The sequence below is a fragment of the Homo sapiens genome, chromosome 10 (assembly GCF_000001405.40).
Source record: "Homo sapiens chromosome 10, GRCh38.p14 Primary Assembly".
Lineage (NCBI taxonomy): Eukaryota > Metazoa > Chordata > Mammalia > Primates > Hominidae > Homo > Homo sapiens.
Genome location: NC_000010.11, coordinates 115,276,115 through 115,303,618, shown reverse-complemented (window position 1 = coordinate 115,303,618; position 27,504 = coordinate 115,276,115). Strand labels below are relative to the sequence as shown.

Here is a 27,504-nt window from a genome sequence, read left to right as displayed (position 1 = left end):
AACTTCTGATTTTATTTGTCTGTTTGGACTTTACCAAATAACTGATATTTTGCTTTGTTCAAATCAAAGCATCCTCAACGGACATAAACTTGGATACCGGCCGGGCGCGGTGGCTCACGCTTGTAATCCCAGAACTTTGGGAGGCCGAGCTGGGTGGATCATGAGGTCAGGAGTTCGAGATCAGCCTGGCCAACAGTGAAACCCCATCTCTAAAAAAAGTACAAAAATTAGCTGGGCATGGTGGCACATGCCTGTAGTCCCAGCTACTTGGGAGGCTAAGGCAAGAGAATCACTTGAACCAGGGAGGTGGAGGTTGCAGTGAGCTGAAATTAGGCCACTGCACTCCAGCCTGGGCCACAGAGTGAGACTCCATCTCAAAAAAAAAAAAAAAAAAAAACCTGCATACCAACTTTATCTCAGGTGATTCTGCAGCTTTCTATGGTGGTAGAATGGTAACTACTGGGCCCCTGAAAAGTATATTATTCAAAAAAAAAAGGACATAAAGTCTGGATTAATTACAAGAGGGACAGATACCAATGAGTGGGATATGAATGAATGCAACCAACATTGAGAAACAGGTCATGAGAGCAGCAGGAGTAAGTAAAACTTTCTACTTTTTTGTTCCAAATCTGAACATACCAATTAATTCAGGTGAAAAGGCATATTTTTGATGAGCGTCAGTGTCAAAGAGTGGATTGCAGAAAGATAAACCATATTCTCTGCTATGAAGAAGCTAGCTAAGATTGGCACTTTTTTCTCCCAAGCAGAAAGAGTTTCACACGGTCTTAAGTTCCTACAAGGCTAACAAGTGCTCCCAGTAGCATTATGCAATTCCCTTGGCAGCTGTATTCTGACGCCATTTGTGTTTGTAAGCAAGGCCACTCTCACCACATAGTACCCAGTATTAAATATTCATTCAGGTGCAGCCTTATCCTATAGTCCTTAGAAAACATGAGAGATCAGCAAGGGGCAAAATCTTTCTCCTGAAGTATAACTCATAGCAAGCCCAGTACTGCCCTGCTGACATAACTCTATGTGATTTCAAGACTGTGCATTCTATACTTGTAGCAGATATACCAACATTGATAAAATATTCTTGCCCCAAAATGCTTTCCTGAATCTAATCATGAGGGAAAAATTAGACAAATCCAAATTGAGAAACCTCCAAAACAATTGGTATAGGTTATTCAAAAATATCAAAGTCATATAAGGAAAAGATATGGGAATTGCACTAGATTAAAAGATACTAAAAAGGCTCACCAAAGCAATCTGTGATGTTTGAGGTGAACACTCTCATGAAGTGTTATACTGTCTGCAACATACACACAGTTCAGGGAAAAGAGGCTGTACATATGTGGCAATATGTTAATATTTAGGGTAAGATACTTAGTGGCATGCAAAATGATGATATAATAAAAATCAGAGGTTAACAGTACCAGTTGGTTTCAAAAGTAGCCGTAACAATATTTTTTCTCATTTTTTGAAACTTCTTCAAATATTTAATTCTTCTTTACATCACAGAAAAGTAAATTTACGTTGCTGTCAAGTGAAAAGTCACTCTAGATAAATACTTACGGGAGCAGGTGGCAGTTTGCCACTCTAGACATTGTCCATATGGAAAAGAGATGATATAGGCATTAGAGTCAACACATCGTTTCGTACTGCTGCACCACATACACTCCATGCCATTGCTTGTACAGTTGGAACATGATGTCCTCAGAGAGCATGGCTTTTTGCACGGCCTCGCATTTTGATTTGGACTAACTGGAATAAATAAACAAATACAATAATTTCATTTTTAACTTCATGTTAACACAATTGTATGGGTTTTCTTTGCTTTGCTGTTCAGGGCATGTTTCAATTAAGCCAACTGTGGCATTATAATATGATGAGGTAGATAAAAACAAAGATGATATATCAATACTTCTTAAAATTTTTATTAAATTTGAAAATGTATAACTCCTTTGAAATTTGTAATTCTTTACAAAGTATATAAAGTTGTATAATTTTAAGTATTATAAGCAGTAATGTAATCTATGACCTAGTTTGTATACCAGCACTGTTTATTTTCCCAGCCACAATTTTTTCCCAGCCACGTTTTCCATAGCATTCCACATCTTACAAAGTAAATGTCCTGTAAGTGAACATGTCTTTGATATAAACAAAGAATAAAAATACAGCTTATCATAAAATATTACACAAGATACAATATTTATCACAGCCTTTAAGATGGCCATTATTTAAAAATAATAGGAAATAAATATTGGCAAGGATGGAGAGAAATTGAAACCTTTGTGCACTGCTGGTGGGAATGTGAAAAACAGAATTGCCACATTATTTTGTAATTCTGCTTCTGGCTATATATATATACCCCAAAGAAGTGAAAGCAAGAAGCTGAACAGTTATTCATACACCCACATTCATAGCAGCATTACTCACAATAGCAAAAAGGTAGAAGCAACGCAAGTATCCATTGATAAATGAATGGATGAACAAAATGTAGTATTTACATATAATGTAATATTGGTCAACCTTAAAAAGGAAGGAAATTCTCATATATCCTACAACTTGGTTAAACCCTAAAGACATTATGCTAAGGGAATAAGCCAGTCACAAAGCACATATACTGTATGATTTCACCATATGAGGTACCTGAAGTAGTAAATTCATAGAGACAGAAAGTAGAACAGTAGTTGCTAGGGACTGTAGGGGGTGGGGTGGAGGAAATGGAGAGTTATTGTTTAATGGGTACAGATTTTTAGTTTTGCAAAATGAAAAAGTTCTGGAGCTAAATGGTGATGATGTTTGCACAACAGTGTCAAAGTATTTAATGCCATTGAATTGGCATTAAAATACATTTACAATGGTTAAAATGGTAAATTTTAAGTACATTTTACCATGATAAAAATATAAGATTTAAAAGAAAAGAATTCAATATTCCTTTCTTACTTAACAAAAATCCATTTCAGAAGATGTAACAAAAATGTTTCTTTTTACTTGATAACTGAAATATGTCTACAAGAGTAAAAGGAGTCCCAATTAGCCATTAATCTTAAAAGCAAATCTTCTTCCCAAACACTATCATGATAAAAGTAAAAGACATTAATGAATTAAGAATAGATTATTGTCATATTATAAGTAACTACAACCACAATCTCACTATTTGAACCAACAAAGTTTGCATAAAATAATAATATTATGTTATTTTCACAAGTTAATGCTGAGATCACTAATAGTAAGTGGGGAAGAATGTGTATAAAAATAAAATTTACATAAATATCATAGAATAAGACTACACCCTAGAAGGAAGGAATGAGAAGATGGGTGGGAAACATACTTTTAAAGGAATGCTAATTTACTGGACTACTTACCAACAGGTTTTTCACAGACAAGGCCATTTGCCATAGATGTACAAGGATTAGCTTTTAAGCCTGCCACTGCAGCCCTTTCCAGATATGCACAAAACCCAGAATCATTGGGTTCGCCAGGAAGCCACTGTAGTGTTGTGTTTGTAAAAGGAGACATGTCTTCCCATCCCCAATAGGATATATTGATCTTGCGCAAGCCTACCCAAGGTGATACTTTCTGTAAACAACAGGAAAAGGGGCATTCAAAGAAAGTTAGATGTAAAAATATGGCATATTCCTTAGCAAATAGTTCACTATCATTAAAAATTATATTTGAAAATATATAAAGCTGCCTTTCTAATGAGTTTTAGTACTAAGAATAATTAACAATTATAGCATATTTTGGAGAATGATGTAGAATAGAACACTGTTTTTAAAACACAGGTTTTATATTTAGCTACATGATTGGAATAATTTATTTAGCCTTCATGAACCTCAGTTTACTCTTCTATAAAGTGGAGATATAATTATCTATCTGATAAGGTAGGATTATTTAAAAACTTAACATATTGTTATTGCTGCTGCTGCTTCTATTACTATTACTACTATCAATGTAATCAGTTATAGGATTAAGACTCTAAAGATAAATTGCCATTATCTGCATTGTGAAACTAGAAAATAAAATCAACAAACAATATATAGAGTCTGAGTGAAGACTTCATAACAAGACCTAGCAAAAAGACTTACAGAAGAATAACTGCCTCTCTCTTAGCTCAGACGTCTACAAATAAATCTGGACTTCTATATGATTTTTGGATAAATTTATGTCATATAATTTTATTAACAAAAAACAACAAAAGTAATAAAATCTGATGCTCGTGCCTATAATTTAACTAAGATTGACAAATACTACATAACTATTCTTAATGCTGTAATATTTCAAAATTAACTTGAAATAAAAATCTTTACCATATTTATAACCTTAATAATTACTCAATTTTAAAATGTTCTTATATTAAAAATGATATATTCATGATCCAAGTTACTAATCTTTACAATTTTTTATATTATAAACATCTCTATTTTAATATATATGATAATAGATTTATTTTCCAAAATACTAAGCTACCAATATTATATTACAATGTGAAATGATGTCAAAACTCCACATTGTTCTTTTTTTTTAAACATTATGGAGTACCAGGATAGAGAAAAATGTTTCTCCACCTTAGACATTAACAACATAGAAATAAGATATTTATATCCAGTATTTATTCTAATTATGATGTGCATATAGTCCTAGAGATCTTAAAAGATAGCCACACCTAGAAATGTGTGCAGAGTACAAATACAATAAATTTCACATAGTAAACACTCAACAAATGTTTCTTGGATAAAATTTAAATATCTTATAAATTCTTGTTATGACAATAGATCTGATATTGCCCAAGTACTGTACATATAGTAGGTAATCAGTAAATTTTGCTAAACAAAATTCATTAGAATAAAAATTGTTATCTTCCATCATCAGCACAGTGCCTAAAACAAAGATGGTACTTAATAAATAATGCTTCTAATTATAAAAACACACATGCTGCTTCACATTGTGACCAGCATATATTTCATATATTATTCTGAAAAATATTTTAATAAGCAAAAACCTAAAACATTCTTATAGCTCTTGATAATAACAGCAGGAGTCAATTCAACATAGATATTTCAGATTAACAACTGTGTTTCACATGACAGCAATTCTGCCTATATCCCTGAACTATCTATAGTCAAGACAAGTCATTTAAAATGAAATATTACTCCCTAACTCATCGTGATAAAAATCTGAGAGGAAGAGGAGGAAAACAGAAAAATGGAGCTGCTGATAAAACATTTAAAGTAACTATTACTCAGTAAATGAACTGGACAGGCAGTTCATTATCTTATGTAAGATAAATAACTATATTATGAAAATTTACTGCAGCACACCATAAATCACTGTAACATTTCATTAGCCATTTCTGATAAGTAAATGATCATTTGACCCAAGATATCTCTATAAAGTGCATGAATTTGTCAATCTTTATTTGCCAAAAAAGGGTTATCTTCAGTTTATACAACTGTAATGACTCAGAATTCATTTTATATAAAGATATGCATAATTGAATGTCACCTTGCAGAAGTCTCCACCTTTGAAATCTTGCTGAAGTTCAGCTTTCTGATAAACCAAAACATTCTTCATTTACAGGGCATGCTAGTTAGCATCACATTCCTTAGCAAATGGAACTTTTGAATGTGTGATGAACTTATCAAGTCTAAGTTCATCACACATTCAAAATAATTATTAGTTCAATCATTATTATTTATAATAGGGAAGAAAAAGTGAACACTAACATAACAATCTTGAAATATGCAATCTCAAAAAAGCACATTTCAAGGTTATATTGTAAGAACTAAAAATAATATGTCTTAAGCAAGAAAGAAAACAACAGAGTTCTAATATCAAATATCAGTACTTTCTAAATATCAGGGAATTTGAATCTGCCAATAATAAGCTCTGCATAAGTGGTAGTGAGAACTAATTTTCACATGTTCATTGGTAATTGTCCCTTTTTTTTTTTTTTTTTTTTAAGACGGAGTCTTACTCTGTCGCCCAGACTGGAGTGCAGTGGCGCAATCTCGATCTTGGCTCACTGCAAGTTCCACCTCCTGGGTTCACGCCATTCTCCTGCCTCGGCCTCCTGAGTAGCTGGGACTACAGGCACCCACCACCACGCCCAGCTAATTTTTTTGTATTTTTTTTAGTAGACACGGGGTTTCATTGTGTTAGCCGGGATGGTCTCGAACTCCTGACCTTGTGATCGGCCTGCCTCAGCCTCCCAAAGTGCTGGGATTACAGGCGTCAGCCACCACGCCCGGACGGTAATTGTCCCTTATTTTTTGTAGTAAAAGAAATAAAGCTCCTGGCATCACAAGAATATAAACAGATTTTAACTTATGTTGTTTGTCCCATATGCTAAAAATAATACTTTACAAATACACCTTGTCACATTCTTCAAAAATATTATAAAACTGATAGGTCTCTCCTACATGCTACCTCATATATCTTATCCTCTAGCCATTAAGCTAGTAGCTCTCAAGACAAGAGAAAAGACTTAGGCATTTCTCTGGCCTCTTTACCAATATTTTCATGTGCTGGCCAACTCCAAATCCTGTAAGACATAGCTAGGGCACTCCTCTAGGAAATTATTCTTAGGTCCACATTACTCGTTAGATGCCTACCCTTTATCTTCATATAGCACCCTGTGTGCATCTATCATTGCAATTATCACATTTCAGTAGAATTGTGTTTGTTTCTCTCCCCACTAAGCTCTTTGAGAACAGCAATTGTCTTTTGATCTCTGTAATCTCAGAAAGCAGTAGATTGCCAAGTACACTGAAAGTAATAAATGTATACCAAATGAATAACTACTGCTCTATCCTTCACAGAAAAATAGCTACAGTTCACAGAAAAGTAGTTTCCTGAATCAACTGTTCATATAAATATGATTAGTATAGTTTTTCTTTACCCTATTAATCCCAGACGTAAAAAAAAAACTTAAGGCCAAGAAGTACCATATTGCAATATCCACTTCAAAATATTTTAATATTTATAAAAGCCAAAGGATATAATTAATTCATCAGTTTTATTAATGGGGAAGAGGGCTTTGGCTGTATAGACAGAAACTGGGGATAGAAATTAGATTATCCATTATTGATACTCATGAGAAATATACATGCTAATATTAATATATTTCATCACAAAAATTAGGGTTGGCAGTAACAGTGGACTGAGTGTCCATACAAAAATTTCAGCAGTGATGTCAGCAAGATGTCTGACTAGAGACACCTGGTGCTCATCCCTACCACAAGAGAGGATTGAGACAATGAATAAAGAGCTATGCTTTGACTGGAGTGTCGAAGGGAGAGTGCTGGAGTGCAGTGGGGGAGTGGAGATGCACCTGTGGTGAATGGAAGTCCAGAAAGGCAGCATGGAGGCACCCAGCCTTTGCCCTGTCTTCTCCACCTGGATTGGATCTGTTTAGGATCAGCAGTGACTTCGTGTTATAGGGAATAGGTAAGGAGAAGATCCCCACCAGCCCCCATTGCTACCAAAAACACCTATAATCCTTACTACAGAAGAATCCCACAGTCCTTACAAGCTCTGAGCCCAGTTTAGAAGCTGCCAGGAATTCCCTCAGCTGCATTGCCCTCAATTAAGAATACAAGGTGTGCACTTCTCATTCCCTACTCAAGCCCTTGAGCCAAGATGCTGCAGCATGGTGCCATGTTGAGACCAGAGCCACCTCTGGAGTGTACCTTGCTCAAGTGTCCAGTAGCCTCTGCATCTCTCCAGTACTGCAGTTCATTTTCGTTCCACCAAGCCCACACAGGCGGCTGAATGCCACAACCCCAGCTGAATGGAGCCTAGGTCCAGGATTGGCTGTGACTCTGGTCCTACACAGCAGGGAAACCAATCCCCACCACTGCACTTCTGAGCCAAAGGAATGTTCTGGCAGTCCCACACAGGACAATGTGGTCCTTGAGCCAGCCAAGCCAGTCAAACCATTGCATGCCCTCCCCCAAGCAGGAGAGGCCCTTGAGACTCTGTGCAGCTAATACGCCCCTAGGCCAGAGGAGCGGCTACATGCCTGCACTCAGGGCCTGAGAAACAGCCACATTGCAACCTCTCCAGGCAGGCCCTTGGCCTGCCTAAAAGCCTTGCACTGGCAATCAGGGCCTAGAAACAGTTCCACAGGCTGCCACTGTTGGGCATGCCTCCAGGCAATACAAGCAGCCATGAGTCCACATCCAGCACCTGAGAAACACCTCTACAGGCCACCCCTGGCAGGCACACCCACAGGCTCGCCAGAAAGCCATATAAGCATATCCTGGGCCTGAGACACGACCCCATGAGGCACTCCCAGCAGATATTCCCCCAAGCCAGCCGAGCAGCAATGCACCTGCATCCTGGGATTAAGAAATAGCCCTGTGGGTTGTTCCTGGCAAGCAAGCCCCCAGGACAGCCAAGCAGCCTTCAACTTGTCTCCTGGGCCTGAAAAACAGCCCCAAAGGCCAACCCTGGAAAAAATCTTTCCAGGCCAACTGAGCAGCTATACACTCACATCTTAAGCTTGAAAACCAATCTCATAGGTTGTTCCTGACAGGCAAGCCCCCAGGTCAGCCAAGTGACTGCATGCCTATGCTCCAAGAGTGACAGTCCTATGACCTCAACCCCAGCAAGCCAGAATGCAAGTTGCCCTACCCACTGTGTGTACTCACATGCCCGTAATCTGAGAAACAGCAAGGTGAGCACACTCTCCAACAAAGCCACATCACCACTGCTACAAACTCTCTTTGCAAAGGCTACCAAGACACTTGAAAATGTCACTACTATGTCACTAATGTGGATTATAGCTGAAGAAACTACATGGAGACTACACTACTTCATCTACCTAGAACCAATACCAATACACCCCATTGAACTAATACCCCAAGACCCATTCATACTAATAATTCTTTCCATACAAAACCTACTCCATAAAATTGGAAGAATTTTATGTAGGAATACATCAAACATGAAAAAGCAAAGAAAACATGATATCCCCAAAGGAAAACAATATTTCTCCACTAATAGAACCCAACATAAGTAAACATATGAAATATCAGAAAGAAAATTCAAAATAATCTTAAGGAACTTCAGTGAGATATAGGAGAATACAGATAGACAATTCAACAAAATAAGAAAAACAATTCATAATTTGGAAGAAAAATTCAACAACAGAGATATCAGAAAAAAAGAACAAAATAAATCCTAGATCTGAAGAATTCAATGAATAAAACTTTAAAAATGCAACAGAGAGCTTCAACCACAGACTTGACTAAGCAGAAAAAATAATTACTCTTTCTTCTTTTTTAACAGAGATGGGATCTTGCTATGTTGCCTAGGCTAGCCTCGATCTCCTGGGCTTACAAGTGATCCTCCTACTTCAGTGTCCCAAGTAGCTAGGACTACAGGTTCACACCACCATGCCCAGCTAGAAGAATCACTGGACTTAAAAGCAAATAACACAGGTAACAAAAATAAAATAGAATATGGAGTGAGGAAGGCCTACAGCATTTACAAGAAACATTTAGTGAAAACCTATTTGTATTATAGGAACTACAAAAGAGAACAGAAGGGAACAGGTGTCTAGAAATATTTAATAAATCACTTGAAAACTTCCCAAGTCTTCAGAAAGAAATGGACATGCAGGTCGAAGAAGCTTAGAGAACACCAAATAGATCCAGCCTATACAGGTCCTCTACAATGCACACAATACTCAAATCATCAACAATCAAACAGAAAGAATTCTAAAAGCAGCAACAGAAAAGCATAAAGTCAGATATAGGAAAATCCCCATTTCAGCAATAGTGAATTTCTTAGCAGAAACCATAAAGGCCAAGAGGAATGGAATGATATATTCAAACTATTGAGAAGAAAACAAAAAACTGTCAACCACAAATATTATACCCAGAAAAGCTATCCTTCAGAAATTAAGGAGAAATAATATCTTCCACAGACAAAATCTAATGAAATTAATCACCAATAGACTAGCCTTACAATAAATGCTCAAAGGAGCCTAACATCTAGAACAGAAAAGATGATAACCAACATAATGAACATATACAAAATTATAAAACTCACTGGTAGAGCCAACACACTAAGGAGAAAGAGAAAGAAATAAAACCATATCACTACAAAAAGCCATGTAACTACAAAAATAAATAATAAGAGAGGAAGAAAGGAACAAAGGATAGAAAGGATATACAAAGGAAGAAAAGATGTATGAAAACCAGAAAACAACCAATAAATTGATAGGAATAATTCTCACCTTCCAATAATAACCTTGAAAGTAAATGAATTCCCTTACTTAAGAGATATAGACTGTCTGAGGGTATTTTTTAAAAAAATAACTAACAATATGCTGCCTAAGAGAAACTTACCTCACCTGGAAAGACATATATAGACTAAAAGTGAAGGGATGAAAAAAGATATTCCATGCAAACAGAAAGCAAAAGTGAACAGGAGTAGCTACACTTATATCAGACAAAGCAGACTTTAACTCAAAAGCTGTAAAAGAGATAAAGAAGCATATTATACAATAAGAAAGGGATTAATTCAGTAAGAGACTATAAATTGTAAATATACATGCACCCAATGTTGGAGCACTTAGATACATAAGGAAAATATTATTAGATATAAAAAGAGAAATATGCCCCAAAACAATAATACTTGGAGACTTCAACACCATGCTCTCAGCATTGGACAGATGATCTAGACAGAAAATCAGCAAAGAAACATCAGATTTAAACTGCAGCATAAACCAAATGGATCTAACAGACATTTACAGAACACTGTACTGAAGAATACACATACTTTTCATCAGCATGTGGAACATTCTCCAGGAATGACCATATATGGTAGGACACAAAGCAAATATCAACAAATTTTTAAAAATCAAAATCATACCAACTATCTTACATGACCACAATGGAATAAAACTAGACATTAGTAAAAAGAGGAACATTCAAAACAATGTGAATAAATGGAAATTAAACAATATAGTCCTCAACACTGGGTGAAGAAAGAAATTAAGAATGAAATTTAAAAATTACTTGAGACTGCTGAAAACAGAAACACAACATACCAAAGCCTATAGGATATAGCAAAAGGAGTACTGAAAGGGAAGTTTATAGTAATAAACATCTACATCAAAAAAAACAAACAGAATGATTTCAAATAAACACCCTAATGTTGCATCACAAAGAATTAGCAAAGTAAGAAAAAAAAAATCCAAAATTAGAAGAAGGAAAAAAATAAAGATCATGGCAATCATGATCTTTATTGAAATGAAATCAGGACTAAAATAATACAGAAGATCAATGACACAAAATGTTGGTCTTGTTCAAAAAATAAAGAAAACTGATAAACCATTTGCTAGACCAAACAAGAAAGAGAGAGGACCCAGATAAATAAAATCAGAAGTGAAAATTCAGGAGACATTAAAATAACACAGAAACATAAAGGGTCATTAGAGACTACTATAAACAACTATATTCCAAGAAATTGAAAACTTACAGGAAATGAATAAATTTCTGTACACATGAAACCTAGAAATTGAACCAAAAAGAAATAGAAAAGTTGAAAATACCAACAAAATTCATGATTTTGAATGAATGATGAAAAGTCTCACAACAAAGAAAAGTCCAGGACCAGATGGCTTCACTGCTGAATTCTACCAAACCTTTCAAAAATAATTAAAACCAATTCTTCTCAAATTATTTCAAAGAACTGAAGGAGAGGGGATTTTCTTAACTCATTCTATGAGGTCAGCATAACACTGATACCAAAACCAGACAAGGACATTAAAAAAAAAAAAAAAAAAAACCTAGAGGCCAATATCTATGATGAACATATGCAACAATGCTCAACAAAATACTAGCAAAATGAATCCAACAATATCAGAACAATACACACCATGACCAAGAAGGATTTATCCAAGGGCTACAAGGATGGTTCAACCTACATAAATTAATAAACATCAAATATCACATCGATAGAAGGACAAAAACCATACAATCATCTCAATAGATGCAGCAAAAGCATTCAACAGAATTCAACATCTCATCAAGATAAAAACTTAAATTAGGTATTTACATAGGAATTACCTAATTTAGGAAGGAAATAAATAAATAAATACCTTTATTTAGGAAGGAATGTACCTGAAAATAATAAAGGCCATATGTGACAAACCCACAGCTAACATCATACTGAACAGGAAAAGCTAAAAGCCTTTCTTCTAAGAATTGGAACAAGACAAGGATACCCATTCTCACCACAATTATTTAACACAGCACTGTAAGTCCATGGCCAGGGCAATTAGGCAACAGAAGAAATAAAAGACATCCAAATTGAAACAGAAGAAGTCAAAGTGTCCCTGTTTGTAGATGACATGATACAGAGAAAAACCTTAAGACTCTTATACAAGAACTAGAAAGAAATTATTTAGGTAGATAGTGAGGGTAAGAGAGTCCTGAGCAAGACTTCCCTTTTAACAAAAAGCAGCTCCAAAATCATTATTTTTCTAACAAAGAGCAGCCTGTGAAATTGAGCTGCAGACAGAGATAAGAAAGCTGGAAGCTTACACCGGTGAATGCCGGCAGCTGTGCCACTAGGTGAAGGCTACCTGGGGGCCAGGCATGTTCAACGTGGAGGCTACATCTTCCCTTTTCTTTGTCAACCACGTGTACAGTAAAGGAACAGGCAACATGGCACTAGCCAAGTAGAGAACCCATCTACATAATAAAAGATTAAGGTAGGGCAGCCAGCTTCTTCACTATGTAAATGACACACCTGGTCAGATCAATCTTTTGGGCTCTATGTAAATCAGACACCACCTCCTTAAGCTTGTCTATAAAACCCCATGCATTTCACCACAGAACTAGAAGACCCACTCCAGAGCCCCTCTCTCTCTGCAGGAGAGAAAGGTTTTCTCTTTCTTTCACCTATTAAACCTCTGCTCTTTTTTGGACGGGGGTGGGGGGCTGCAGTTTCACTCTTGTCACCCAGGCTGGGGTGCAATGGCACGACCTCAGCTCACTGCAACCTCCGCCTCCCAGATTCAAGCAATTCTCCCGCCTCAGCCTCGGAAGTGGCTGGGATTACAGGCGCCCGCCACCAGGCCCAGCTAATTTTTTATATTTTTAGTAGAGACGGCGTTTCACCTTGTTGGCCAGGCTGGTCTCAAGCTCCTGATCTCAGGTGATCCATTCGCCTCAGCCTCCCAAAGTGCTGGAATTACAGGCATGAGCCACCATGCCTGGCAACCTCTGCTCTTAATTTCACTCCTTGTGTGTCTGTGTCCTTGATTTCCTTGGTGTGAGGCAAAGAACCTCGGGTATTACCCTAGAGGAATGACACCACTTCAACTCTACCAGAAAACTCTTAGTACTGATAAACTAATTCAGCAAAGTTTCAGGTTACAAAATCAACACACAAAAGTCGGTAGCACTTCTATACACAAACAACAAACTAGGTGGAAAATAAATCAAGAAGGTAACACCATTTACAATACTTAGAATTAATTTAACCAAGAAGGTAAAAGACCTCTACAAAAAAAAAAAACTACAAAACACTGATTAAAGAAATTGAAGAGTATCCAAACAAATGGAATGACATTCCATGCAAATGGATCAGAAGACTTAATATTGTTAAAACAACCATGCTACTCAAAGCAATCTACAGACTCAATGCACTACCTATAAAATACCAATGACATTGTTCACAGAAATAGGAAAAGCAATCCTAAAACCTGTATGGAACAAAAAAGAGCCCTAATAGCCAAAGCAATCCTGAGCAAAATGAACAAAGCTAGAGCTATCAAACTACCAGGCTTCAAAATACACTACAAAGTTGTAGTAAACAAAACAGCATGGTACTGGTATAAAAACATAAACATACACCAGTTGAAGAGAATAGAGAACCCACAAATAATTCACATAGCTGCAGCCAGCTGATTTTTGACAATTACACCAAGAACATGCATAGGGGAAAGGACAATCTCTTCAATAAATAGTACTAGAAACACTGGATCTCTATATGCATTAGAATTAAACTAGACCCCCACCTCTTACCCTATACAAAAACAACAACAAAAAAATGGATCAAAGAACTAAATTTAAGGCCCAAAACAATAAAACTGCTAGAAGAAAACATATGAAAAAACTTCAGGAATGGGTTTACTAAAAGATTTTATGAACAAGACCTCAAAAGCACAGGAAACTAAAGCAAAAATAAACAAATGGTATTAAATAAAAATAAAAAGCTTCTGCACAGCAAAGGAAACAACACAGTGAAAAGACAACCTACAGAAAGGGAGATTATATGGTTTGGCTGTGTTCCCATCCATATCTCATCTTGAATTACCACGTGTTGTGGGAGGGATCTGATGGGAAGTAATCGAATCATGGGGGCAGGTCTTTCCTGTGCTGTTCTCATGATAGTGAATAAGTCTCACAAGATCTGATGGTTTTAAAAAGAGGAATTCCCCTACACAAGCTCTCCCTCTCTTTCCCCGCTGCCATCCATGTAACATGTGACTTTCTCCTTCTTGCCTTTTGCCATGATTCTGAGGCCTCCCCAGCCATGTGGAACTGTAAGTCCATTAAACCTCTTTTTCTCCCCAGTCTCGGATATGTCTTTATCAGCAGCATGAAAACAGACTAATAGGAGAAAATATTGGTAAACTATTCATTTGATAGGGAATTAATATCCAGAATATATAAGGAACTAAAAAATTTCAACAGCAAAAGAACCACAATCTGAATTAGAAAAGAACAAATGATCTGAACAGACATCTCCCAAAAGAAGACATACAGGCCGGACACGGTGGCTCATGCCTGTAATCCCAGCACTTTGGGAGGCCATGGTGGGCGGATTACCTGAGGTCAGGAGTTCGAGACCAGCCTGGCCAACATGGTGAAACCCTGTCTCTACTAAAAATACAAAAATTAGCTGGGCGTGGTGGCACACGCCTGTAATCCCAGCTACTCGGGAGGCTGAGGCGGAAGAATTGCTTGAGCCCAGGATACGGAGGTTGCAGTGAGCCGAGATCATGCCACCGCACTCCAGCCTGGCCAACTGAGCGAGACTGTCTCAAAAAAAATAAAAAAAAAAAAAAGAAGACATACAAGTGACCAACAAAAGTGTGAAAAAAATGGTCAACATCACTAATCATCAGGGAAACAAAAATAAAAACCACAACGAGCTATCATCTCACCTCCAGATGTCTATTATCAAAAAGTCAAAAAATACTGGTGAGGATGCAGAGAAAAGGGAATTCTTATACGTTGTTGGTGGGAATGTAAATTAGTACAGCCCCTATGGAGAACAATATAGAAGTTCCTCAGAAAACTACAAATAGAACTATCATTTGTTCCAGCAATCCCACTACTGGACATTTATCCAAAGGAAAGAAAATCAGTATATCAATGGGATACCTGCATTCTCATGTTTATTGCAGCACTATTCACAATAGCCAAGATGTGGAACCAACCTGGGTTTCCAACAAGAAAAAAATAGATAAACAAAATGTGGTAAATATAAGTAAGGGGATAATATTCAGTCATTAAAAAAGAATGAAATCCTGTCATTCATGGCAACATGGATGGAAGTGGAGGACATTTTGTTAAGTAAAATAAGAGAGGCCCAGAAAGTTACACACCCTGTGTTCTCATTCATAAGTGGAAGCTAAAAAAAAAAAAAAAAAAAAAAACAGTTGATCTTATAGAAGTAAAATGTAGAGGAGAGGTACTAGAGGCTGGGAAGAGTAAGGCGAAAGGGAGGGATAAGAAGAGATTTATTAAAGGATTGAAAATTACAGCTCGATAAGATGAATAAGTTCTAATGTTCTATAATAATGTAGGATGACTATTGTTAACAATAATATATCACATAGTTTCAAATGGCTAGAAGGAGGATATTGAATGTTCCCAACACAAGTAAATGATAATAAATGTTTGACATAATGGATATGCTAATTTCCCTGATTTGCTCACTATACATTATATGTATTAAACCAGCACTATGTACCCCATAAATACATACAATTCTTCAGTGACAATAAAATAAATTTTAATAGAAGCTTGAACAAAAAAATGTACTTACCATAGAAAAATTAAGACATTTTTCCACAATCAGTTTCAATATTAACTATTTACCAGAAATATTCATTTAGTTACCTAAAAATTCATTGTCTAAATAATGATTCCTGGAAATAGTAGTAATAGCAGTAGTGGGAACAAAGACAAAAAAATAGTATCCCTTAAAATGGAAATAGTAAAAATTGTAACCAAAGTTAACTCTCAAAAATAAATTTTTCTATATTCTTTACATGCAGTATCTCATTTATTACCCACAATAAACATATGAAGTAGCCATGATTATTATGCCAGTTTACACATGAGAAACATAGAGCTAGGGATGTTAACTTGCTACTAAGTTGTAGAAATAAGCATATGTCCAGATTTTATGCTGTCCACCATTTTGATATGCTATCTACAATGCTTCTTTAAAGTAAGCTGTAACAAGTAAGCATTACTTGTTTCTATATAGCAAGTAATTGGTAACATAGTCATCTCTCTGTATCCATGGAGGATACGGAGGTCCCTTGTGGATTCTAACATCCATAAATATCATACCCCTTATGTAATATAAAATGGCATAGTATTCCAAGTAACCTATCCATATCCTCCCATATACTTAAAATCATCTCTAGATTATTACTGAATACAATGTAAATGTTATTGAATAGCTGTTATGCCGTATTGTTTAGAGACTAATGGGAAGAAAAAAAGTATGTACATGTTCAGTACAGACACAACCATACTTTTTAAAAATATTTTTCATCTGCGGTTGGTTGACTCCATGAATGCAGAATCCATAGATACAGAGGATCGACTATAATTGCTCTGAAAAGTTTTCAGCAAAAATTGTTTCTGCCACACTATACCAAGTGCAGTTATAATTCTTAAATTATATACTCTTTAAGTGTATCTATTCATATAAGATCACTTCTTGGTAAGGTAATACAGTGGTTTACTCTGCAAAAAGTGATAATTTACAAAACCTTATTACCTTATTACTTATACAAAATAAGTCTTCTGCCAATTCACTTGAGAAATCAATTTCACTTTTATTTCCAAAATTAGCAACAATAATGTATTAAAACCAAAAAAAAATTTCAAATAATTATGAAATTATCATAGCATATTTCCATAATGTAAACAAGTAGAAATGTTACCTGTTGTGTATACTTCTGTATTTCATCCAGAACAAATTCTACTTCTTTTGAGGTTGTTAATGAAGCAAGATTTCCACTAAGATTATAGCAATAAAGTTTTGCATTGTCATAGTTTTCTCTACTGGAATTGACTCTAAGACAAGCATCCCCAATATGACTCCATCCTTCTCCACAAAGATGAGCTAGTAAGAAAAAAAATGTGTCTTATTGTTAGATTACCAAAAAGCAAATGTATTTTTCAATTATTTCAAAGTACTTCTGTATTTGTTTAAATTATTTTTGAAATAAAACATATTAAATATCTCAATATTTCAAATAAATTTTTCTAATAGTTTGGTAGAGAATGAAAGCAGAACATCCCAACTTTTTCTTTAAATCTTAAACATGAGATAAATTATGGCTCTATGACATCTGTTAAATGTGTTGACTGCTAGGTTTTCTGTGTAACATCTGGTATATTGGCATATGGTATTTCAATAAGTAAAATCACTACTATATTTATGTCCCAAGGTCTAGTTTACATAAGACAAGATTACTTTAATAGAAAAACAACAAGCTTATAACAGAAGCAGTTTCAAAGTTACTCCTATAAGTGAAGCTAATTGACCTCTAAATCTAATTTCTATAGCTCAGGTATATAGTTGTGGTATAAGTTGGGTTCTCTGATTCTTTCATAAGCATGGGTAGAGAAGTCTCATTTCACTTATGATTAGTAAAGTAGCTATGATCTTTCCTTGCTAATGTTTATTTTTACACAATTATTCATGTCTTTCTAAAAATGAAACATACTGTTCAGTAATAATGGTTTATCTATAGAATCCAAATTGAACTTGAAACACCGTTTTCCAAAACACAGGTTTATATAATATATTAATAAGGCTAAACTTTAGTGTGCACTAATTAATAATAGTGTTTCATTGATATACTGATCTATAAAGTTAGATTACATTTTAGTTTCTATATCATATGAAATGTATTAGCGCCTCTAGCCCTGTATGAAGGACCTTGGATATATTGCTGCAACTCTTATAAAGTTGTTCTAAAGCAGCTGTTCTCAAATTTTTGGTCTTTAAGTCTTAAAAATTATTGAGGGTCCCACAGAACTTCTCTTTATGCATGCTATATCTACTGATTTGGAGCGTTTTAAAATTAAAAATGGTTTTAAAATTAAAAATGGTAACTTTAACAAATACATGTATTTATTCATTTAAAATAATAATTTTAAACCCCACTATAAATGCACTCTTCCAGCTGCTGAGATGTCTTGCCCCACTATGGTATACAAATAGGCCCAAAGGAAACGTATCCTCAAATTCCCTTCCCGAGGGAAAGTAGCTGACAATTCAAATTAGACCTCAGCATCAAAAAATAAAGAAGGATTAATGAATGAATAGGGGATGGATAGGCAGAGAGATCAGGGATAGTGCAGATAGAGCAATATGTTAATTGCAGAATCTAGAATGTAGGTATTGGGTGTCCTCTCCACAATTATTTCTGTTTTTTAATATTTCTGTTTTAATATTTCATAACAAAATGTTGAAGGGGAACATTACAACTTAATAGCATATTTTATTTTTATTGTTTTATATTTTTGTAAATGTCTTCAATATTTGGCATTTGACAGCTATATTCTCATACCTTCTTCTACATTCAGTCTATTGGAATAGCATACAACAGATAGCCGTTATAAAACTCCATGGTAAACCCATAACAAATGGAAAATTTTAAAAGCAAATAATGTCTCAGTACTATTAGTCTTCACCAAATGGACCCACTCGAAAGCATCTTGGGGACTCCTGTTCGTTCACGGTTGCTGCTCTAAGGATTAAATTGGGTACCATGAAAATCTCACAGCAGTTGGAACATAGTAATCCCTCAATAAACTATAATTATCATTTAATAAGACTGTGTAGCATGCCCTGGTTTTCAGTTTGAAGCTATATGTGTTTCAATTTTCACAGTCCTTTTAAATCCAAAATACCAAAAAACTTTTCCTTACAATGCAAACGTTTTCTTAAATTACGGTTTTTTCTCACCTTACTGAATCAAGGAAGAATTTAGATTATTATTGCCTGTCTCCTCATTTATTTTTTAGTGAGAACAAAAATAGTTCATTGACAAATCATACAAATAAAAACAAATGCATGGGCCTTTGTGGCTAAACTAAATTATACTACCAAACCAAATATTTTTATACTTCAGGCTTTTGTAGTATTAAGCAACAACTTAGCAGTGGGGTTAAAAGGAAGGCAATTAATTTATAATGAGTTTAGTGAGATAAATTCAAATTGCCAAGCTCATATGAGATCAATGTAAAAAAAATGCAATACACCAATTGTCATGGAATTGTACAACTGCTCTACAGACTGGGCCCTCTATTTAGAGCATTCACTTCCTTGAGATAAGCTGAATGGAAATCAAACGATATATAACCAGTTGGCTGCTTAGTAAATATGAATTAAGAAAAGAGAATTTGTGCATAATATATTTCATTACATTTCCAAAATAATAGCCTGGTCAAGTGGAGCCTTTATAACAAAGCAACATTTTTTTCCTAGGGAATGAGTAGATGAGTACTACCAAAAGTAACTTTACTATCATTTTTCCAAACTTCCACTGGCAACTAATTTCCATTCTTATCAAAGTAATATTCCTTGAAATGTATACATTCCTTCATTCAAATCTTATTTTGGTCCAAGATTAACCTTGTCATTTTCAGGAAACTTTGTAAATATTTTCATTGATCTACATTTTCATTTTATAGTTTAATTCTGAGAGACCAATACCACTTTCAACTTCTTAGTATCATCTCACTGTTGCTTCTTAAACCCTGCCTACTGCATTATTAATACTATCTTTCTCAAAATGAGCACACATGCACATCGCACTGTTTAAAGGCTTTAAGGGCCAGTATGTAAACAAAATTCAAAGTATGAATGACATTCCAGCGCCTCAATGGTGTGTTTGTTTGTTCGTTTGTTTTTGAGACAGAGTCTCACTCTGTCACCCAGGCTGGGGTGCAATGGCGTGATCTCTGCTCACTGCAACCTCCACCTCCTGAGTTCAAGTGATTCTCCTGCCTCAGCCTCCCGAGTAGCTGAAATTACAGGTGCCCACCACCACACCCAGCTAAATTTTGTATTTTTAGTAGAGACGGGGTTTCACCATGATGGCCAGGCTGGTCTTCAACTCCTGACCTCAAGTGATCCACCCACCTCAGCCTCCCAAAGTGCTAGAATTACAGGTGTGAGACACCGTACCTGACCGCAATGGCATTTTTAAAGGCAGAATAATTTTGATTTTTATCACATTAACTTGTAAGAAAGATTCTCTTTCAGACAAATTCTGTGATGGAATTTTCCAATATGTTTTAGAATTAAATAGGCTCAGAAACTTTTCTTTAAAAAAAAAGTGGGGGTAGGGGGCTAGGGGAGGGATAGCATTAGGAGGAGAAATACCTAATGTAGGTGATGGGTTGATGGGTGCAGCAAACCACCATGGCATGTGTATACCTATGTAACAAACCTGCACATTCTGCACAAGTACCCCAGAACTTAAAGTATAATAATAATAAAAAAATAATTCCACCTTTAAAAAAAAAAAACCTGGGATAAAGAGAGGTAAAATACTAAACAGAAATAAAACACCTAGTTAATAGCTACAACTCTGTCATTTACAAGTCACATAATTTTGAGCATATCACTTAACCAGCATGGATCTCAGTTTATCTGTATAACAAGCAGAACTGGTTAAATGCCTGTATTACCTTTCAATTTTCTAATTTTATCTTTTATATTTCAAAGGAAGAGTACTTAGCATCCACTAGCAATGTTAACTGTGAAAAAATGAAATTACTTTTAAAAATGAGCTTTGCTGTAGTTTATAAAATTCGGATTCTCATAAAAGCACATATTTATTATAAGAAATGTGAACACATGGACACAGGAAGGGGAACATCACACTCTGGGGACTGTTGTGGGGTGGGGAGAGGGGGGAGGGATAGCATTGGGAGATATACCTGATGCTAAATGATGAGTTAATGGGTGCAGCACACCAGCATGGCACATGTATACATATGTAACTAACCTGCACATTGTGCACATGTACCCTAAAACTTAAAGTATAATAATAATAATTTTAAAAAAATAAAAAAAGAAATGTATTTATTATAAAATTATATTATATAGGATAATATATTAAAATATAATTTATATTATATTATATATTATAAATGTAATATAATAAATATATAAATTTATGGTTTAAATTTATTAAATATATAAATTATATATTTAGTTAAAATTACTAGATATATAATTTTAATAAATATATGTTACATATTATATAAGTAATATATTTATGTATTTATTGTTAATATATTATATATATAATATTTTTAAAACCCTGGGATATGGAGAGGGAAAATATATAATATATATATTTTAGGATACAGAGAGGCAAAATATATAATATATAATTAATATGTTCTATATTATTGTTGCCTTAAAATATTTTTTATAAATGTTATAATGTATAATGAAAATATGCACTGAGTTTGGAAAATAAAAGGCACTTAAATAAAATATAACAAAATGTTAGTATTTGTTAAATCTGAATATTAAGTCTGAGTGCTTATTATTTTCTACATTTTTAAGATTTTTTTCGATGAAAAGGTATCTAATCAGTTCAACAGTATCATAAACATATGAACACCTTAAAATAATTGGAAGCAAATATGTAATCAAAAAACTTTTCTTGTAGAAACAGTGTTATTAGTACTACAATATTATAGGTTGATATTTACTATGACTTTAATTTTAGAAAATGTAGTGTCCTTACTAAATGTACTTTTCTATGTCAGTATTTATCTGTAGACCATAAACTCATTTACTAAATTTTGAAATCTTTACCTGGTAAAGCCTGGCATTCTTGCTGTCTCTGATCCCACTGGCAATTCAAGTTTAGTGAACAGCTTTTACAGCTGGTAAGTTTGTTACAAATCTGCTCATTTCTCACATGACATTTGGTGTAGTTCTTGACAGACTACAAAATTAAAAGAGCATGTTATTTTTCACCTTTGTACAGCAATGATTCTTAAACTTCAGTGTATATTTAAATCCTCTGGTGAACTTTAAAATAAACATTTCTAACTCCAAATACAATTCAACTGAATCAGACTCTCCCTTATTTATTTCATTAGTTTATTAAATTAAATTAAATTTGGCCTGAAGCTGCCTCTACAAGTGGTGAACTACAACCTAATTTAGGATTAAACAAACTGCAACCTAACTTACAAGCATATTCTTGTAACAGATAGTTGAGTCCCAGCCAATCACAGCAATAGAGGCATATGTTTCAATGGACAAACTGCAAAATATTCAAATAAGGTATTATAAACACAATGGCATTAGGCAAAGCTAACTACACTGCCTTGTTCAAAGGTATTACAAATTAAAATGGCAATCATATCCACTCCCACTGGAAAACATAGATTGACCCCTTATAAAATGGTTACTGGAAGGCCTACGCCCGTAATAATAGAACCTCATGTATTTACTGCTTTTATAAACTCTGACATGACTTGATATTGCAAGGCTTTAATGCATTTTGCCAAGGTATATTTTCACCAGATAGAAGAAGCCCCCACGAACTGATGACAACCAGACTTTTCATGGTCTACACCCCGGAGACTGGGTCTTTTCAAAAGAGACACCAGAGAAAGACTGCCCTTGAAGTCAGCTGTAAGGGACTACACGAAGTTCTTCTCTGCAGCAAAACTTCAGGGCCTTGAGCCTGAGCCTTGGATCCACATTTCTCAATTTAAGAGGACCCTTCCCAGTCTCAGGACAGTACACCCACTGGAAACCTCAAGGCAAAATTGACCAGGGACCTTTCTCCTCAGAAACAAATGACATCCTAGACATGAAAGCTTTCCCAAGAAGACAGATCAAGACTTCTTTCCTTAGTCACCATGAAACCATGGTCCTTTTCCTCTTTTCTCTGTTTTTATTTTTTATATATACCCAGGAAGATAACATGCTTATTATGATTTCATAATCAATAGCTTTTGCAGGCAACGTAACTGAATGTTGGATATGTTATGTTAAACACAAATCCTTAAATGATCTTAGAGATTCTCTGCTTCACCTTCTAACAAATTTCTCTGATGTTCTAAGAGCAATATCTGGTCCTTTGTACAGGGTTAGGCTTTTAGCTTCACACATCAGGTTCTTCGTTTAAATCTGACAGTAGTCAAAACCTATGAGGGATTTGCAGTTACATTATGCCAGAAATGGAATAGGATAACCAAAAGAAAGGTAATTCAACAGTTTGTAGAGAAATTTATCACCCTAATCCCTTTAATTGTCAAGATCCTTCAACCATGCAATGATTTCATAATGGAGCCTTGGAGAAATATTACTAGTGCTTCTCTACTGTGGCCCCTAACACACAAGGCAAGGAACTGTCTGTCGTGCCTCACCAGGGTATATTTTTATCTGTATAGGATTTAACAACCAACCATATATGTGAGCAACTCCATGTCTCAATAAGTGGAAAATGTTGAATAGGGATTTTAACAGTAATACTGTTAGAATTGTCATGATTATTTCCAATAACCAATTGGAAATTGAACATTGGTCTACACCTCTTAATTTAACTATAGAATAAAGAGGAGTTTGCAAGCAAGTCTAAGTATCCCTAAACAGGCATCTTTTGGTAGAATGCTCCTTCCCTGGCTTGGCATAAATGTAAATGAGACTATGATTAGAAATCTGTCGCAAACATTAGCTACTATAGCAGAAATTGGCTACAGTTGCCCATCAAACATCTTTAAATTCTCTTGCTAAAGTTGTTTTAGATAACATGGTTGCTTTGGCCTATCTGTTGACTGAAGAGGGAAGAGTGTGTGCAACAGATGACACCTCCTATTGCCCTTGGAAAATTATGTCCGACATGATAGAAATTCAGTTTTAAGAAATCAACAAACAAGATAATTGATTAAAACAAGTAGATTCCTCTTCTGGCTTGTTGTTGATATATTTGATTTTGACCAATTTGATTCATGGAAGCACCTATTAAGAAGTATAGTTCAGTCTCTTAATATTACCCTCATGATAGTCATTATTATAATAGTCTCCTTAGTATGCCATATCTTCTCAAGAGTCTTTATTATTATTATTATTTTTTTTTTTTTTGAGACAGAGTCTTGCTCTGTCGCCCAGGCTGGAGTGCAGTGGTGCGATCTCGGCTCACTGCAAGCTCCACCTCTCGGGTTCATGCCATTGTCCTGCCTCACCCTCCCGAGTAGCTGGGAATACAGGCGCCCACCACCACACCCGGCTAATTTTTTGTATTTTTAGTAGAGACAGGGTTTCACCATGTTAGCCAGGATGGTCTCGATCTCCTGACCTCATGATCCACCTGCCTTGGCCTCCCAAAGTGCTGGGATTACAGGTGTATGCCACTGTGCCCGGCCCCTCTCAAGTCTTATATGTTCATATGCAGCCATCTGTTATATATCAGATGGTCTCACTATAGTTAAAATAATAAAAACACAAAGAGAATATAAAAAAATCATCCAACTGACTTGACATTGCAAATTGTGAATTCCATATTCAGACAAAACAAGTCCATTATGATAGTGACAGAAAGTAGTATTAGTGCCTAAGGTTTTTGGTCAATTTCTCAAAACTGACAGCTGGCCAAAAGGGGAGATTAAATTAAATTTGGCCTGATATAGTATGTAAACAAACTGCAACATAATTTGAGTGTATTCTTACAACAGATAGCTTAGTCTCAGCTAATCACAGCAGCTGAGCTTCAGCCAAACACATGCTGCCAACTGATCAGACTATTTCCATACAAGGTAAATGCCTCATCACACCATGCCCAAATAGGGCAAATGGTGACCTGTAGCCAATCAAGATGTTCCTAAACGTCACTTCCTTTTTCTGTCTAAAAATACTTCCTGCTCACATTGATAGCTGGAGGTGTCCGAAGCTCTTGGTTCAGAATGCTGCTCAATTCATGAATCAATCTTTGTTCAAATAAGCTCTGCTAAATTTATTTTGTCCCAAGTTTTTCTTTTAACAAGTTAAACTATTGTTCTTGGAATTGGAATGAATGTTTATTAAAAAATGAAGTGTGCAAATTACATAATTTTAAACAGGCACCATCTAATGAAAACTTTTTCCAGTGAATTCGAAAACAGCCTTCCAATTCAAAAAATAAAGTCATGTACAAAGTCATTTCCATTAATGATGACATAAAATGGTTCTAGTCTTAATAAAAGTATCATGCAGACCCCTGGGAATGAGGCAGAAATGAAAAGTAGTAAAAGGTAAAAAGATGCTTTATCAAAACCCAATACAATATAAAAAGATAAATGACTGTCACAACTCAAACTAATTTTACTTCCACAGACACTAAATAATGGTTCTGGTTGATTGAGATTTCTTCTGTATATATCTGTCACATTTCCTCCATTGAGGCTTCAAAGAATCTGCAAAAGTTTTATTTTGTTTCCAAATCTACATAATGTAATCATATTTCAACTAATCTGGCATTGAGAGATTAAAAGTTAATTTCCAATAAAGAAAAAAAGTAGACAATATAGAAACTTTGATGGTGGTTCCTTACATATACCCAGGTTCAGATAATTCACATATTATCAATACCTATGATAAAACCTAACTCATGAAAAATAGATATTAAAATTTTTGGCTCAGCTTTTCCTGTGGCTCTACTTTATAAGAAAAAAAAATACAAAGATTTAATGCTAAACATTGAGCCCCCACCTCAATCTTTTTGTTTTGTTTTGACTATAGGTATAAATACCTCAGGCCTTCTCATGTAATGGAGCTAAATATTTGTTTTCACTCAATAAAGTTAAGAGTTAAAATTAAGTTATAGCTATCCTATAGATAAAATTTATTGAAGCAATTTTTAACCACTTAGAGACTTTAAATGTCACTCACCAAGTATTTATTTATAAGCCACTTCCTTCATAAAATACATTGCCATCACCTCCATTCCAAAGGTGTTAATTTCTATTAGAGCATTTTACACTTACTGTAAAGTAGCAGATAAAAAGTACCCAGATATAATTTTTATCTTTATTCATCCTAAAAAATTACAGAAGATACATTTTTGTAAATTTGAAATCATTTTATGACTTTTTCAACCACTTCATTTTCATTAGAAACATACTTTCTTATTGTTATTTGTTCTGATTCATAATTTTTTGTTTTCATATAGTATATAAATATTAGCATTATTCTATATAATCATTACAGTATAGTTCTAAACATTTGATAGCTAACTAAAAATAATTAAATTTACCTGAAGTATCAGATAAATAAAATAACCTATAAAAATGACATGAGAATGGCTAAACATGTTGGAATAAGAAAAAGAATAATAGTTTTATGTCAATCTTTAGAATAACAATGGTAACAGAGTCTCCATCCAAATAACTCTACTGCTCTTCATTAAGAAAAATATAGTCATTTATTGATACTAAACAAGTACAAAAAATGAAATTATATTTCAATCACACATAGAGCCAAGTTAATCAATGGTAAAAGAAAGCTATTATTCTGAAACATAGCTGGCATTTTTGGCCTAATGAACCAGACACGCTTATGAATAGTAACCACTACTCTACTGATCTTCACTCTAATATACTGACATGTAAATTGTAAATGAAAATATGTGAGAATAAAGCACATTGTTTGACCTATATGAAATAGGATATCAATGTACATAATCTAGACTGAAATCCCAAAGACCTCTCTTTGCCATTAACATTTGGTTTAGCTTAATCACAAGACATTCTGATAAAACTGTCTAAAGGACACATTACATCAAATTCTAAATTACAAGTGAGTACCATCTGCTCTCTTACACTATCTCACCCAATGTTTTCCTTGTTAACACATCATCATTGAATAAAATATAAAGCAAAATGCCACTTTATAAATACTTGATAGCAATTTACATAATACAATTTTTAAGATATGTCTGTTTTCACTCAGATATGTTGTATTTTCATATGTAAATGTCTGTCATGGACTGAATGTTTGCATCTCCCAAAATTCATATTTTGAAACCCAATCCCAATGTGATGTTATTAGGAGGTGCAACTTTTGGGACGTAATTTAATCATAATGGTGGAGTCCTCATATATGGGATTAACACCATTATAAGGGGTTGAAGACACAAGAGCTCCCCTTCTACCAGGGGAGGAAGCAGTGAAAAGACATCTACTGTGAACCAGAAAG

General features: G+C 34.8%; 1 protein-coding gene across 11 annotated transcripts in view; it reads right to left on the bottom strand.

Moving 5' to 3' along the window:
• The window catches only part of ATRNL1 (attractin like 1), an 855,635-nt gene that overhangs the window by 645,381 nt on the left and 182,750 nt on the right, over nt 1-27,504 (bottom strand). For 10 of the 11 annotated variants that reach the window (NM_207303.4, XM_011539587.2, XM_011539588.3 and 7 more), the window contains 4 exons: nt 22,132-22,264; nt 17,222-17,403; nt 3,372-3,585; nt 1,576-1,764 (listed from right to left, as the gene is read on the bottom strand). In NM_207303.4, the coding sequence (NP_997186.1) occupies nt 1,576-1,764; nt 3,372-3,585; nt 17,222-17,403; nt 22,132-22,264 (718 nt within the window). Of the gene's footprint in view, nt 1-1,575; nt 1,765-3,371; nt 3,586-17,221; nt 17,404-22,131; nt 22,265-22,515; nt 22,589-27,504 lie in introns of all 11 variants that reach the window. The other variant, XM_017016040.2, reaches the window with a different exon arrangement.